The sequence below is a fragment of the Homo sapiens genome, chromosome 2 (genome assembly GCF_000001405.40).
Source record: "Homo sapiens chromosome 2, GRCh38.p14 Primary Assembly".
Lineage (NCBI taxonomy): Eukaryota > Metazoa > Chordata > Mammalia > Primates > Hominidae > Homo > Homo sapiens.
In genome coordinates, this window is record NC_000002.12 from 127949424 (window position 1) to 127964645 (window position 15222).

The 15222-nt window shown below is 42.2% G+C and overlaps 1 protein-coding gene across 20 annotated transcripts in view; it reads right to left on the reverse strand.

The window, feature by feature from the left end:
• Positions 1 to 15222, reverse strand: part of SAP130 (Sin3A associated protein 130) — an 86838-nt gene that overhangs the window by 8202 nt on the left and 63414 nt on the right. For all 20 annotated transcript variants that reach the window (XM_047445826.1, XM_047445825.1, NM_001330299.2 and 17 more), the window contains 3 exons: positions 5563 to 5921; positions 737 to 985; positions 446 to 571 (listed from right to left, as the gene is read on the reverse strand). In XM_047445826.1, coding sequence (XP_047301782.1) covers positions 446 to 571; positions 737 to 985; positions 5563 to 5921 — 734 coding nt within the window. The remainder of the gene's footprint in view (positions 1 to 445; positions 572 to 736; positions 986 to 5562; positions 5922 to 15222) is intronic.

Genomic DNA, 15222 nt, shown 5'->3' on the forward strand with positions numbered 1-15222 from the left:
CGTTGCATATTTGTTAAACAAAAGATCTTTTGGCAGAAATGCTTACAATGCATGCGTATTTTTAGCATCTTAGGAACTACTGTGGACTGAGAACTGTGTTACACAGTAACCCAGTACAGCTCTTCCACAATGACTCTGGAAGCCACAGGTATCCTCTATCAGTACTTTGGGAGCTGTTAACATGTGGGTTTTACAAAAACCAAGGCTGTCACTTAACCATTAAACTGCAATTCCAATAAATACACACAGCTTGCTAGGGCAAAGGGTAATTTTCTAGGTTTTATATTCTACAGGATATACTTAAACACTAAAGCCTCAAGATTTTGTAACAAAAACTTATGGTTTTTTTGAAACCGGAAAATTGTGGTTCTGTTTTTCTCTTCTATTTTAATTAAGTTTACACCAATTTCATGCATTAATATCAAGTGTTTCTGGGGAAACTAACCTTTGACCCGGACGTCACTGTACCTCTGAAAGTGGTGGTAAGCAGCTTTCCAGGGGTTCCGATAGTGACGAAGCAAAGTAATGGGGGGTCTTGGACGCACTGGGACATATCTCACACCTTCCTCATCTGTTAAAGAGAAGACATTAAACAACTTAGTAACACTGTCAACAATCCTCAAAGTTCATTTCCAGTAAGTGAGGTACGAGTGAGGCTGACTATGTAACGAGCCTCTGGGTTGGACTCTGACTTTATTGGGAAGCATCATAACACAAGTCAGCCTGTGACCATTACCAATATACTCCTTGGGAGGAGACTTGCGCTTCTCAGCCTTCACCAGAAGACTCTTGGCAGTGGACTTCTCATCATCAGTGCTGTTTGTCTCCATCATGTCACCTTCTTCTGTTGAGATCACATGCTGTTGCTTTCGAGGCTTTTTCCTTGGGGAGGCACCAGGTGGTAGGTCACTTGTAGGCATGGACAAGTTGTTTGCCAGCAATGCAAGAGATGGAGACACAGTGTTGGTAGCCAGTGGAGGAACTGCTGTCATAGGAAAAGGAGCACACATATCTGTAAGAACTCAAAGATAACAGAAAGTTTCACTTCCTTCCTTCCAACAAAGATGATTAAGAAGACAGCACAGAGCACCAACATTTATTGTCTTCCTATGTGTCTGGCACTGTGCTAAGCACTCTGTGGCAGAAGCTGCAAACTCCTCCCTTATAGCCCATATCTTCATCTTCCTTAGGTCCAGGACGTCCTTTGACAAGGACACAATGATATTCAGCTAAAGAATGTACTTCCTAGCCTCCATTACAGGTGTGGTCATCTAAGATGGAAGTAGAAGTGTTTTGTAGCACTTTTAGCAAATTTCCAGGAGGGAGAGAGAGAGCAGGTGTGATCTCCTTGTCTTCTTTCTGTGATCCTGGAACTCAGACGAGATGGCTGCAGCATCAGCAGCTGTCCTGAATTAAGAGCATGAAGGTCAAATCCTAGGGGTGGTGGAGCAAAGAGGTGGAAGGAGCCTGGCTTTCTAATAATTTGATGAAGTCCACACACCATCCCTGAACTGTTTGCCTCAGGACTTGCTCCAAAGGAGATAACAGGACCTTATGAGTTAAGCTACTATTTTTCACACTTTTTAAACATAAATGCCTAGCAGGTAACCTATTAACTCATTATCGTAAAAATCATCTGAATAAGTAGGCATTATTATTATCCTCCAATTCACAGATGAGAAAATATGGCACAAGTCACACAAGTATGAAGTGGGCAAGCTGGGATTGACAGAGGCAGTCTGGCTTCAGAGCTTGCACTCTCACCGACCGCAGTGTGCTACCTCCAGATAAAAAGCATGTGTTGTGAGGACGTAAACATTTGCTTGAGCTTGTATGAATCATACATCTAGGAATTTAAAAATCATGTTAAGGGCTCACCTTAACTCTTATTTTCACTCTACCACATACTTGCCCTATTTTCCTCTACCCACTCTGCTGCCCACTCCCAACAGTCATACCCTAAACTTTCCTGTCACCATTAAATAGAAACTGCCTCACACCCAATCTGAATTTCTAGCATCCAACTCCCTAGGTAAATCCAACTCCCTTTCTAGGTTCCTCCCCTCGGTACTCAGCCTCCAGCACTTCTTAGGCCTACAAGGAACCTGTTCATCCGACCATGTTCCTGCAGTCACTCATCCCTCTCATGTCTATCCTCCCCCATCGCTAGGTCTGAACCCTATAATCACTGTATTCCTTTTCTTCCTTCATTGTCCCTTCCTTTTCTTGCTTTACTGTGCTCATTTAGCAAAAGGCCAAGAGGTTAAATCCTGTTCTCCAACCAGTCTGCACCTACGCAACTGAATGTCGCCAGAGGGAGACACACTACCATGCTGACTGGCCTCACTTGGACAACCCTATCTGTTAAGTCCAGTCTCTCTTGGGATGACTACTTCACACCTTCTTCTCCCTCAAACACTCGATGCCTCCTCCACCATCTGTACTCTCAGTGGATGGCCTTGCTTTCTATTTTACTGAAAAAGATAGATGCAATCACAAGAACATGTTCATCAAGTCCCACCACCTTATCTCCCCATCTCCACTGTGTCCCTATATTCTCCTTCTCTCCATGCTTTCAGCAAAGGCCAAACTCTTCAGCTACACACAAATCCCACCCACTCTCGCCTCCTCAAACAGTGCTCCAGGAATTCACAACTTTCTCCTGCATCATCAATTCTTCTCACTCTACTGGATCATTCCTATTAACATACAAAACTCTTATTTGTCCCATCTTAAAAAAATCTTCTTCTTGGCCAGGTGTGGTGGCTCACATAACCCTAGCACTTTGGGAGGCTGAGGCGGGCAGATCATAAGATCAGGAGTTCGAGACCAGCCTGGCCAACATGGTGAAACCCCATCTCTACTAAAAATATAAAAATTGGCTGGGTGTGGTGGCAGGTGCTTGTAATCCCCGCTACTCAGGAGGCTGAGGCAGGAGAATTGCTTGAAACCAGAAGGCAGAGGTTGCAGTGAGCCAAGATCACGCCACTGCACTCTAGCCTGGGCAAAAGAGCACAACTCCATCTTAAAAAAAAAAAAAAAAAAAATCTTCTTGACATCATGTCACTTCAAACACCTTTTTTCTCTTCCTTTAGAACAAATGCCTCAAACGTGCTGTTTATATATAATGTCTCTATCTCTCCTGGCTTTCTCCTGAACTTGCCCCCAGTCATGCTTTTACCCCATCATTACAGAAAAACTGCTTTTCTCAAGACCTCTGTGACTTCTGTTTGCCAAATCCAAAGGTCACTGCTCAGACCTCATCTTCCTTGATCTCTCAAGAGCATGTGATCCACCTGATCATTGTCTCCTCTCTGAAATATTTTTGTTCTTGCAACTTCCAGGACACCACATACTATAAGTGATATTCCTACCCTGTGTTCCCTCCATTCAGCCTCCTTTGCTGGACTTTACTTCCTCCCCCATCTCATGATAGCACAACACCATCCTAAGACTAGATCATGGACTGCTTCTGTCTTTATCAACATTCATTCCCTAGGTGATGTGAACGACTCATCCAGGCTCATGACTTTAAATACAATTTATATATATAATGACAACTCCCAAATTTGTATCTGCAACTTCATTTTCTATTCCAAAAGCCAGCCTCATAGATCCAACTATTTATTTGATGTCTACATTTGAAATGTCTAACAGACATCTGAAACTTACCCTATCAAAAACTAAACTCCTAATCTTTCCCTACAAAACATGGTCCTCCTGCAGGCTTTCCTAATTCAGCCAATGGCAACTCTATGGCTTCCAGTTGCTAAGGCCAAAAATCTTGGAAATTGTCCCAGATACTGTTCTCTCACACTCAACATCCAATCATTACACACTCTTAGCTCTACCTTAAAAACATAAACAGAATCCTACCACCTCACACCACTTCCGCTACTACTACCCTGGTTGAGCCTTCATTGCTCCTGGCAATTAATGCAACAGCCGCTTGACAGGTCTCCCCGATTCCATCCCTGTTCCCAGAGTCTGTTCTTTCCCCAGCAGCCAGAGTGTTTATCTTCAGTCCTAAGTGAGTGCTTGGCACTGCTCTGCTCACACTCCCTGCTCTGCTCCAACAGCTCCCTGCCAACCCCAGCAAAGCCAAAACCTTTACAACAGCCTGTGGGCCCTGTTCTACCATGATCTGATCCTGCTGCCTGCCACTCCCCTTATTACTTAGCTCCAGCGACCTTTGGTTCTTTGCTATATTTTGAGCACATCACGCATGCTCCTATCTCAAGATTTTTGTACTTACTGCTCTCTGGCCTGGAATACCCTTTCCCCGGATATCCTCATGGCCAGGAACTTCATTTCTTTAATGTCTCTACTCAATGGTCACTTCCTCAGTGAGGCTTTCTCCTAAAACTCTTTACACACATTCCAGCCCTGGCTACAGCTTTCCTTATATTTTGTCCCTGCTTTGTTTCTCCATAGAACTTATCACCCAAACATATATATACATACATACATACATATATAATTTAGTCATCTTTTTGCTTTTGTCTCCCTTGCTAGAATGTAAGACCTAAGAGGATAAAGCTGCATTTGTCTTACACAAAGTTGCATCGTCAGTGCCCAGAACAATTCCTGGAATAGACTCCTATAGGTTGAGGTAGGATTACAGGCAGTTTCCTAGCACAGAGAGGTAAAGGGAACCAGCGAAAAAGAGCAGGTGAGTAGCATAACTGAGGGTGCTTCATTTTTCCCTTCTGGATTACTCATGGTATCTTTTGAAGAAAGTGCCAAGGGTAAATATACCCACAGAAAGAGATTTCATGGCAGAATAAACAGATGAATAAATAAACAGTAGATTAAAAAAACTACAGACACAGCACAATCACACCTCTATCGGGCAAACAGCATGAGAAAGAAATGGAGGACTTCTCACTGAAATAGCAGGTAATACTGGGTACCAGAGCACAAATAACTTGCTTTCTTCTTTGGATTTGTTTATACTTCACACAGTTTGTATACTGAATATGTTACTTTTGTAGGAAAAACAAAATTCCACATAAATTATTAAAAAAAAAAAAGAAAGAAAACCTCTCAAGTGACTTGACTTTCTCAAACCGGAAGTTTGGAGTTAAGATGAAGTGGTAAAGGGAGAAATGAATTGTTTTAAGATTTTACTAATCACATATAGGTTTTTCAGCAACACAAATCTTACTTGATTGTATAACAAGGCAATGAAACTTGGAATAAATAGTACTAAAGCCATATTGTGCCTCCTTTTACATAGTAGTATTTTCTTAATACTACTTTCTTAATACTACTAGGCATGGAAGGAAACTATGTTGAAGGATATCCATGGGGAAATATTAATCTCTTTCATGATTTTGGCCAGAAATTAAACTTTATTACAAAAGGGAAGCAAAGTAGTTTTACTTTTCACAATGAGTTTACTGCTTTCTTCTACTTATCAAAAACTAATGACATGCAACATCTAAAATGGGTTATCAGGGAGTCTTGGCTGAGGGTTACAGAAGAATCTGGATGCTGGAGGAGAATTAGGGAAGGGGAAGAGGCAATTGCCAATGGAGAGTATTCTATGGACGGACTTACCAGAAACTGGCCTCATGATATCCATTGGTTCTACTTCTTCTTTCACTTTAATTTCAGGAACGGGAGGGCCCAAGACGGAGGAAAGACTGCCACCCACAGTGACTGATGGAGGTGGTGCAGCTGCAATGGTGGTGATGGGTGGAGTGATGGGGACCGCTCCAGGAATGGTTGAAAGGGCAACGGCTGGTTGTGACGGGGGACTGGCTGCTGCAATCATAGTTGGAATGGTCGGTGGGGGCTGCTGGGCAGTTGGAGGGACGGCAATGGTAGGCTGATCATTATTTTGATTGGATACAGTCTCCATGGACACAGTGACCGGAGTGGCCATAGACACGTGGATTTCAGACTTGGGTTTGGCACTAAAACACAAAAGAAAAGCACATGTAGCAAATAAGAAAAAAACTGCCTTCATCTACAACATCTCAGAGGATGAGTATTTGTCCAATTATTTCTGTCCAGCACACTGCACAATTTATACTCTATTTCCTTTTTTTAAATTTTTAATTTTAAAAAAATTTTGAGACAGGGTCTCACTCTGTTACCCATGCTGGAGTGAAGTGGCGTGATCTTGGCTCACCGCAACCTCTGTCTTCTGGGCTCGAGGGATTCTCCCACCTCATCCTCCCGAGTAGCTGAGACTACAGGTGTGTGCCACCATGCCAGGCTAATTTTTGTATTTTTTTGTGGAGATGGGGTTTCACCATGTTGCCCAGGCTGATCTCCAACTCCTGAACTCAAGTGATCCGCCTGCCTCGGCCTCCCAAAGTGATGGGATTACAGGTGTGAGCCACCACACCCAGCTCTAATACTCTATTCCTTGACTTTAAAGTTTAACAAAGCAATTTTAAATGGAAATCAGGTTTTAAAGATATACTGTATGTCCTGCTCCCAAGTTTTTATAAGCAGTAATAAAATTAACTAAGAAAATAACACTTTAAAGAACTCAAAGTCATATCGTCATAGCACAACCAATTTTCATAATATTAATGTATCTTTTCTCCCAGAATTCCTTAATATATATGTTGTCTTTGGAGTTGTTATTTTTCTGTTTTTTTTTCTTTTCTTTCTCTTTAGCTACAGTTGTAATTGAGAGGGACTGAGGTTGAGCTGATTACTAATGGCCAATGCCTAATCAACCATTCCTGTATAAATGGAATTTCCATAAAAACTCTAAAAGACTGGGTTCAGGAGCTTCTGGGATAGCTAGCACGTGGAAATTCCTGGAGGGCAGGCGTGCCTGGAGAGGCCATGGAAGCTTCATGTCCCTTCTCCCAGGCCTTATGCTTCTGTTCCATTTGGTTGGTCATCTGCATCCTCTGTAATAGCCTTTATGAAAATAGGTTAGTGTACGTAAAGTGTTTTCCTGAGTTCTGTGTGCTGTTCTAGCAAATTAATCAAACTTATGCATGGGAACTAGCTGGTCAGAAGAACAAGTAAAACCACCTGGGGCTTGCATTTGGCGTTGAAAGTTGGGTGCAGTCTTCCGCATGTTCTCACTCATAGGTGGGAATTGAATAATGAGAACACTTGGACACAGGAAGGGGAACATCACACACCAGGGCCTGTCATGGGGTGGGGGGAGGGGGAGGGACAGCATTAGGAGATCTACCTAATGTAAATGATGAGTTAATGGGTGCAGCACACCGACATGGCGCATGTAGACATATGTAACAAACCTGCACATTGTGCACATGTACCCTAGAACTTAAAGTATAATAAAAAAAAAAAAAAAAAAAAAGAAAGTTGGGTGCAGTCTTGTGGGACTGAGCCCTCAACCTGTGAGATCTGACACTATCTCCAAGTGTCATAATTGAATTGGAGGGCACCCACCTGGTGTCTTCTGCAAAACTGATTGGTTGGTTGCTGGGGAGAAATCCTTCCCCACTTCTTACTAACCAAAGGTCACAGAAGTTTCTGTGTTGTTGTTGAGTGAGAGAAGACAAAAACAAAAACATTTTGGTTTTTACTCTTATATTCTCAGATGAGAAATTGTATACTTGGGATTTTCAACCTATAGAAATGAAAATATTGAGTTGGGCACAGTGGCTCATGCCTATAAATTCCCAGCAGTTTGGGAAGCTGAGGCGGAAGAATCATCTGAGGCCAGGAGATCGAGACCAGCCTGGGCAAAATAGTAAGACCCCATTTCTTAAAAAATTTTTTTTAATTAGCCAGGTGCACTGGCATACACCTGTAGTTCCAGCTACTAAGGAGGCTGAGGCAGGAGAATTACTAGTGCCCAGGAGTCTGAAGTTGCAATGAGCTATAATTGTAACACTGGCACTCCAGCCTGGGCAACAGAGGGACTAGAAGTTCTGGAATACAAAAGTGTAAAGGCTGAAAGGGGAAAAAAAAGAAAAAACACTAGAGTCTGAACTGTATATTTGAATAGGCATAAGAAAGAACTGGCTAGGCGTGGTGACTCACGCCTATAATCCCAGTGCTTTGGGAGGCCATGGCAGGAAGATCGCTTGAGCCCAGGAATTTGACACCAGCCTAGTTAACATAGGGAAACCCCAAAACTACAAAAACAGAAACACTAGCTGGGCGTGGTGGTGTATGCCTGTGGTCCTAGCGACTCTGGAGGCTGAAGAGCAGGAGGACTGCTTGAGCCTGGGAGGTTGAGGCCGCAATGAGTTATGATGGCACCACTGAACTCCAGCCACAACAGAGCGAGACCCTGCCTCTTAAAAAAAAAAAAAAGATAAGTTATGGCAAAATATTAAAAGTTACATATGTTTGATTACTATTATTTTCTCTATTTTCTCAGACATTTACAGATTTTCATATTGAGAAGGCTTTAAGATAAAGTTGAAGATATCTAGAAAGAAAAAGAGAGAAGAGAGACAGTAAATAAGAGAGAAAAAATAAAAAAAATCAATTCTAGAAGTTCACCTGACAAATAAGAGTTTCCCCAAAAAAAGGAGGAGATGGAAATTGAGTAGCAGAAAACAAATCATGAAAGAAATAATACATTAAGATTTCCCTGTACCGACCAATACAAGTTTTCAGACTGAAGAGACCACTGAGTATACAGCACATATAAAACCAACCAACTGGTACAACAAACCACCATGGCACATGTATACCTATGTAACAAACCTGCATGTTCTGCACATGTATCCCAGAACTTAAAGTATAAAAAAAGGCTGGGCACAGTGGCTCACGCCTGTAATCCCACCACTTTGGGAGGCCAAAGCAGGAGGATCACGAGGTCAGGAGTTCGAGACCAGCCTGGCCAACATGGGGAAACCCTGTCTCTACTAAAGATACAAAAAATTAGTGGGGCGCAGTGGCGAGCGCCTGTAATCCCAGCTACTCAGGAGGCTGAGGCAGAAGAATCGCTTGAACCCAGGAGGCAGAGGTTACAGTGAGCTGAGATCATGCCACTGCACTCCAGCCTGGGTGACAGGGCGAGACTCCGTCTCAAAAAACAACCAACCCAAATTCTACTGTCAAGTTTTTGAACATTGAGAACAAAGATCATTAAAGCGTTCAGAAAGAAATGAACACATAAGATATAAAGATCAGCACTCAAAAATCATATCTGGGTTTTCAAAAATAAAAACAAAATGTAGAAGACAACAGAGTAATACCTTTATATGTATGCCACACACTCTCTCTCTCATATATATGAGAGTGAGACAGATGAGAGAGAGAGAGAGAGAGAGAGAGAGAGAGAGAGAGAGAGAGAGAGAGAATCTCTCACTGTGTTGCCTAGGCTGGTGTGCAGTGGCATGATCATGGCTCACTGCAGCCTTAAACTCCCAGATTCAGGTGATCCTCCTGCCTGAACCTCAGTAGCTGGGACTAAAGGTATGTGCCACCATCCTTGACTAAGTTTTGTATTTTTTGTAAAGGCGGGGTTTCACCATATTGACCAGGCTGGTCTTGTACTCCAGGACTGAAGCAATCTGCCTGCCTTGGTCTCCTGAAGCTGTGGGGTGAGCCGCCACACCCGGCTAATATTTTTAAAGAGAAATGATTTCCCATCTAAAATTCTGCCTGCCATTCTATCATTTAAGAGTGAGGAGTTGTGTTTCAGGCATGATGGAGTAGACATACTTTTTCCTATTCCTCCCACAAAGTATAGCTGAAAATTGTGTTATATATAAACCAAGCACAACGAGCTGCTGAAAAGTGAGGAGAAAAAGGCACATTGTCTAGGACCTCGGGACCCCAGGAATGGCACGGCAGTCAGTTCCCTGGATTTGCTTTTTTCCTTGTGTGTCCCGGACAGGGCGCTGGAGAAGCTGATAACATGGAAATGCAAAAGAGCAGAGACAAAAAAAAGTCCCAAGAAAAGCCTACTCTGTCTAGCCCAAGAACCAAGAAAAAGGGGTGGCTTGGCATGACGAAAATCCTGTAGACAATAATTGCTATACTCCAGTGAAACGTCACAGAAACAACTGCGGCCTTGGCAAAGGCTGAGAAGAGTCTAGACTTACCCGGCCAGGTTGTAATGAGAGACCTCAATCTCCTCCCCATCCCACTACTCATGTGGTATCATCAGAGGCCAACCGGGAACCTGGCCTTCACTGATCACCTGGCAGTAACAAGGCAATGCCCCCTCTTCCCTGCTGGTGTAGTTTGAGAGGAGGCCTGCTAAAGTATAACCTATATATAAATCCAGTCTTATAACTTAACACTTAAAATGTCCAGTTCCAAACAGAAAATCACTCATCAAGAAACAGGAAAAATCACAACTTGAGTAAGACAAGAGATAAATGATGAAGCAAATTACCTGACAAGGACTTTAAAGTAGATATCATAAATATGTGTTAATATGCAATTACTAATTCACTTGAAATGAATCAAAAAGATAGAAAAAACTTAGTAAAAAAAAACCCCAAAGTTATAAAAATTTTGGAACCAAATAGAAATTAAAGAAATAAAAAATGTAATAACTGAAATAAGACGGTCTTGCTGTGTTGGTGAGGCTGGAGTGCAGTGGCTCTTCACAGGCATGATCATTGAGCACTACAGCCTCCAACTCTTGGCCTCAAATGATCCTCCCTCCTCAGCCTCCTGAGTAGCTGGGACTGTACAGGTAAGAGCCATCGCATCTGCCTTAGAATCAATGAGGCCGAAGATGGATCAGTATTATTAGCCTAATCTGAACAATATAGAGAAAACAGACTGAAGAGTGTGGATAGAATAAAGATGTTTTCTGATATGCCAAGTATCAAAAACTGACATCTTGGGCATTCTGTCCCTACTACTGAAGAGGTGCTCTTACAAATCAAGGGGGTAAATCAAGAAAAAGGAAGCATACAGGCTCCAGGTGACAAGGTGAAGGGAATTCAGAGCCTGGCGGAGAAAGGAGGCACCAGGAACAACAGCTGGGCACCGAGTCCAGACAGGCACCGATACAGACTGCGGCAGGCAGAAGCAGGGCTTCAAGGAGGGATATGATCAAGAAAAACCAAAAATGACAGAGATCTGACAGGTTTAACTCATTGAGAGCAGTTCTGTAGGTTTGGTGGAAAGTTTGAAGATGAACTAGTGATATCTAGAAAAGCCTACACAAACATTATAAGCCTTGTAGTACTACATAACTTAAAAAAATTACATTTACTTATATTGACAGCTATTGGATTTCCTTTTCAAATCTATTTTATATTTTCCAATATATTAATTTTCCTTAAGTTTTTTTGTTTGGAATTAGTAATGCATTCACATGTTTCAAACGATATATCAAGAAAGCTCCCTTTTTCTAACCCATCTACTATTATCTTCCACACAATACCACTATATCTCAGCATTCTACTGACTCTAAGATGGCAACAGTTATAAAATGAACCATTATTTTGTGCATACTTAAAAATGCAATAACTGAATTCTAGAATATTAAGATGTCATCAGTTTTAAGATACTGATTTTAGAGATGCTATGGTTTTAAAACCTTGTTTCTCACAATCAATGAAATATAATAATTTCTTGTATGACCTTATAATACTTATGAATGAGACATAAGCAAATACAAATGTTTTTTCTTTCTTTCTTTCTTTTTTTTTTTTTTTTGAGACAGGGTCTGGCTGTCGCCCAGACTGGAGTACAGTGGCACGATCAGGACTCACTGCAGCCTCGACCTCCCAGACTCAAGCAATCCTCCCACCTCAGCCTCCCAGTAGCTTGGGACCACAGGTGTGCACCACCACACCCAACTAATTTTTGTATTTTTTGTAGAGATAGAGTTTCGCCATGTTGTCCAGGCTAGTCTCAAACTCCTGGGCTCAAGCGATCCACCCATCTCAGCCTCCCCTCCCCAACCCCTCTAGCAGCTGAGACTACAGGGGTGTACCACCATGCCCAGCTAATTTTTTTTTTTTTTTTAATTTTAGTAGAGACAAGGTCTTGCTATGTTGCCCAGGCTGGTCTCAAACTCCTGAGCTCAACTGATCCTCCCATCTTGGCCTCCCAAAATGCTGAGATTACAAGTGTGAGCCACTGCACCTGGCCCAAATGTTATTTTCTTACCCAACTTCCCTGCTTATTTCAAAACTGTCATAGCATATACCTCATACCTTGCTTTTTTTTTTTTTTTTGACTCAATTGGGTTGCTTTTTTGACTTGTAACCATATTTTATTTACCCAGTCCCCTATTTGTGGAGTAGAGTATAAAGACCAATACAGGTAACAACATTCAACAGACTAAAAAACTATAAATTTAACTGGGAATATTTGGAGGCGGAAGGTGAGCGGAATGCACGCACTTCCCCAGGCTCCCCATCCTACCAAGAAATGCAATGCCCAGCCACAGTGGACGAACCACTTGCTGTCAGAGCCAGACTTCCCAAAGTATGTTGCTTCCTTGGTTCTCTACACTAAGGAATTTGGGGAACGTGAGGGTGGCATGAAAACTATGGGGGTGGGAGGAGGTATTTCTGAGCTCTGGTGCTGACTGTTCAGGAGAGCTGCATTTCAGAGTGGAGCTGTCCAGGGAGCAGCAAGCCAGCTATCTTTCAACAGAGCCCTTCCAACTCTGGCGTGTTAGCTCTCAGCACGTTGACACCTCTGTCATCTGATATATGTGCTAGTGTATCTGAATAATAAATTACCACACATACCTGGGAAAGAAAAATGCCTCTGTAATTTTGGTAAGTATTGCGAAGTTGCCTTTCCATAAGGGTTATAACAGTTTGCACTCTCACCAAGAATAAAAGCACCCAATTATCCACAGCTCTTCCAACAGCATATTTCAAACTCCTGGGATTTTGCCAGTATGAAAGGTAAACGTTGATGTCTCAGTGTGCTCTCAGTTGCTCATCTCTTGATATAAAGCATCATTCCACATGTTATGGACCACTGATACTTCTTGACCTGTGAACTACTTGTTCCTCAGGGATCTAGAACTAGAAATACCATTTGACCCAGCCATCCCATTACTGGGTATATACCCAAAGGATTATAAATCATGCTGCTATAAAGACACATGCACACGTATGTTTATAGCGGCACTATTCACAATAGCAAAGACTCAGAACCAACCTAAATGTCCAAAAACGATAGACTGGATTAAGCAAATGTGGCACATATACACCATGGAATACTATGCAGCCATAAAAAATGATGAGTTCATGTCCTTTGTAGGGACATGGATGAAACTGGAAACCATCATTCTCAGCAAACTGTCACAAGGACAAAAAACCAAATACCGCATGTTCTCACTCATAGGTGGGAATTGAACAATGAGAACACATGGACACAGGAAGGGGAACATCACACACCGGGGACTGTTGTGGGGTGGGGGGAGGGGGCAGGGATAGCATTAGGAGATATACCTAATGCTAAATGACAAGTTAATGGGTGCAGCATACCAACACGGCACATGTATACATATGTAACAAACCTGCACGTTGTGCACATGTACCCTAAAACTTAAAGTATAATAATAATAAAATTAAAAAAAAAAAAGATGACTGGCTTGATGTCATAGAATAAACTAGAAATAATCACATAAACCTTAAGTGTTGCTGCTTCAAAGAAACTGAATAAAAATAAATTGTATATAAATGTCTGAAAAAAAAAAGAAAAAACAAAAAGGTTGTTCATTTTTCTACTGGACTTACTTCTTTATTCTTCATTTCTGGCAGTTATTTATATACTATGAAGATTAGCCGTTAGACTGTGATATGAGTTGGAAATATATCTTCCCAATTCATCATTTGTCTTCCACTTTGCTTATCAAGTTTTTTCTTGACAAAAGTAGTTTGTTTTTTAAATAATTTTTACTGAGTCAAATTTCTCTCTCTCTTATTAAAGACAGGGTCTCACTCTATCACCCAGACTGGAGTACAGCGGCATGATGCTGGCTCACTGTAGCCTCGACCTCCCAGACTCAAGCAATCCTTCCACCTAAGCCTCCTGAGTAGCCAGGACCACAGGTGCGTGCCACCATGCCCGGCTCATTTTTGTATCTTTTGTAGAGATGGAGTTTGGCCATGTTGCCCAAGCCGGTCTCGAACTCCTGGGTTAGAAGCAATCTGCCCACCTTGGCCTCCCAAATTACTGGGATTACAGGTGTCAGCCACCATAACCAGCCCTGAGTCAAATTTCCCAAAACTTTCTTTTTATAGATTCTGAATTTTGAGTCATAATGTGTTATGGTTTGGCTCTGTGTCCCCACACAAATCTCATCTTGTAGCTCCCATGATTCCTATGTGTTACGAGAGGGACCCTGTGGGAGATGACTGAATCACGGGGGCGGGTCTTTCTTGTGCTGTTCTCGTGATAGTAACTAAGTCTCATGAGATCTGACGGTTTTAAAAAGGGAGAGTTTCCCTGCACAAGCTCTCTCTTTGCCTGCCACCATCCACGTAAGATGTGACTTGCTCCTCCTTGCCTTCTGCCATGAATGTGGGGCCTCCCCAGCCACATAAATTTATGCATGGTTTTTTCTATCATTATTTGCATAGAACTACGTAAGTTCAATGTAAAAAACTCCTTTTTAATTTTTTTATGGGTTATCTTGATTGGGATAGTGTTAGGCAGGCAAACTAGAAATAGGAATGAAAGGAGAAAACAGAAAGCCCTTTTTACCCATTTTAAAATGTTCTCTGAGAGCTGAGCATAGTGGTATGTGCCTGTAGTCCCCTACTCAGGAGCCTGAGGCAGGACGATGACCTGAGCCGAGGAGTTCAAGGCTTCAGTGAACTGTTTCACACCCATTGCACTCCAGCCTGGATGACACGGTGAGACCCTATCTAAAAAATAAGGAAATTTAGGCTGGGCGCAGTGGCTCACGCCTGTAATCCCAGCACTTTGGGAGGCCAAGGAAGGCAGATCACTTGAGGTCAGGAGTTCGAGACCAGCCTGGCCAACATGGTAAAACCCCACCTCTACTAAAAGTACAAAAATTAGCTGGGCGTGTTGGTGGATGCCTGTAATCCCAGCTACTCGGGAGGCTGAGGCAGGAGAATCACTTGAATCCAGGAGGTGGAGTTTGCAGTAAGCTGAGATTGTGTCACTGCACTCCAGCCTGGGCGACAAGAGCGAAACTCCATCTCAAAAAAAAAAAAAAAAAAAAAAAAGTAAATTAAAAAAGCCACAATGAAAGCATTATACAGCAGAATCAGTGGGCTGCAATGAAAGCATTATTTAGAAGAAAGTTCATGGCCTTAAATACTGAAAACTGTTAGGCTGAAAAACTAGAAAACA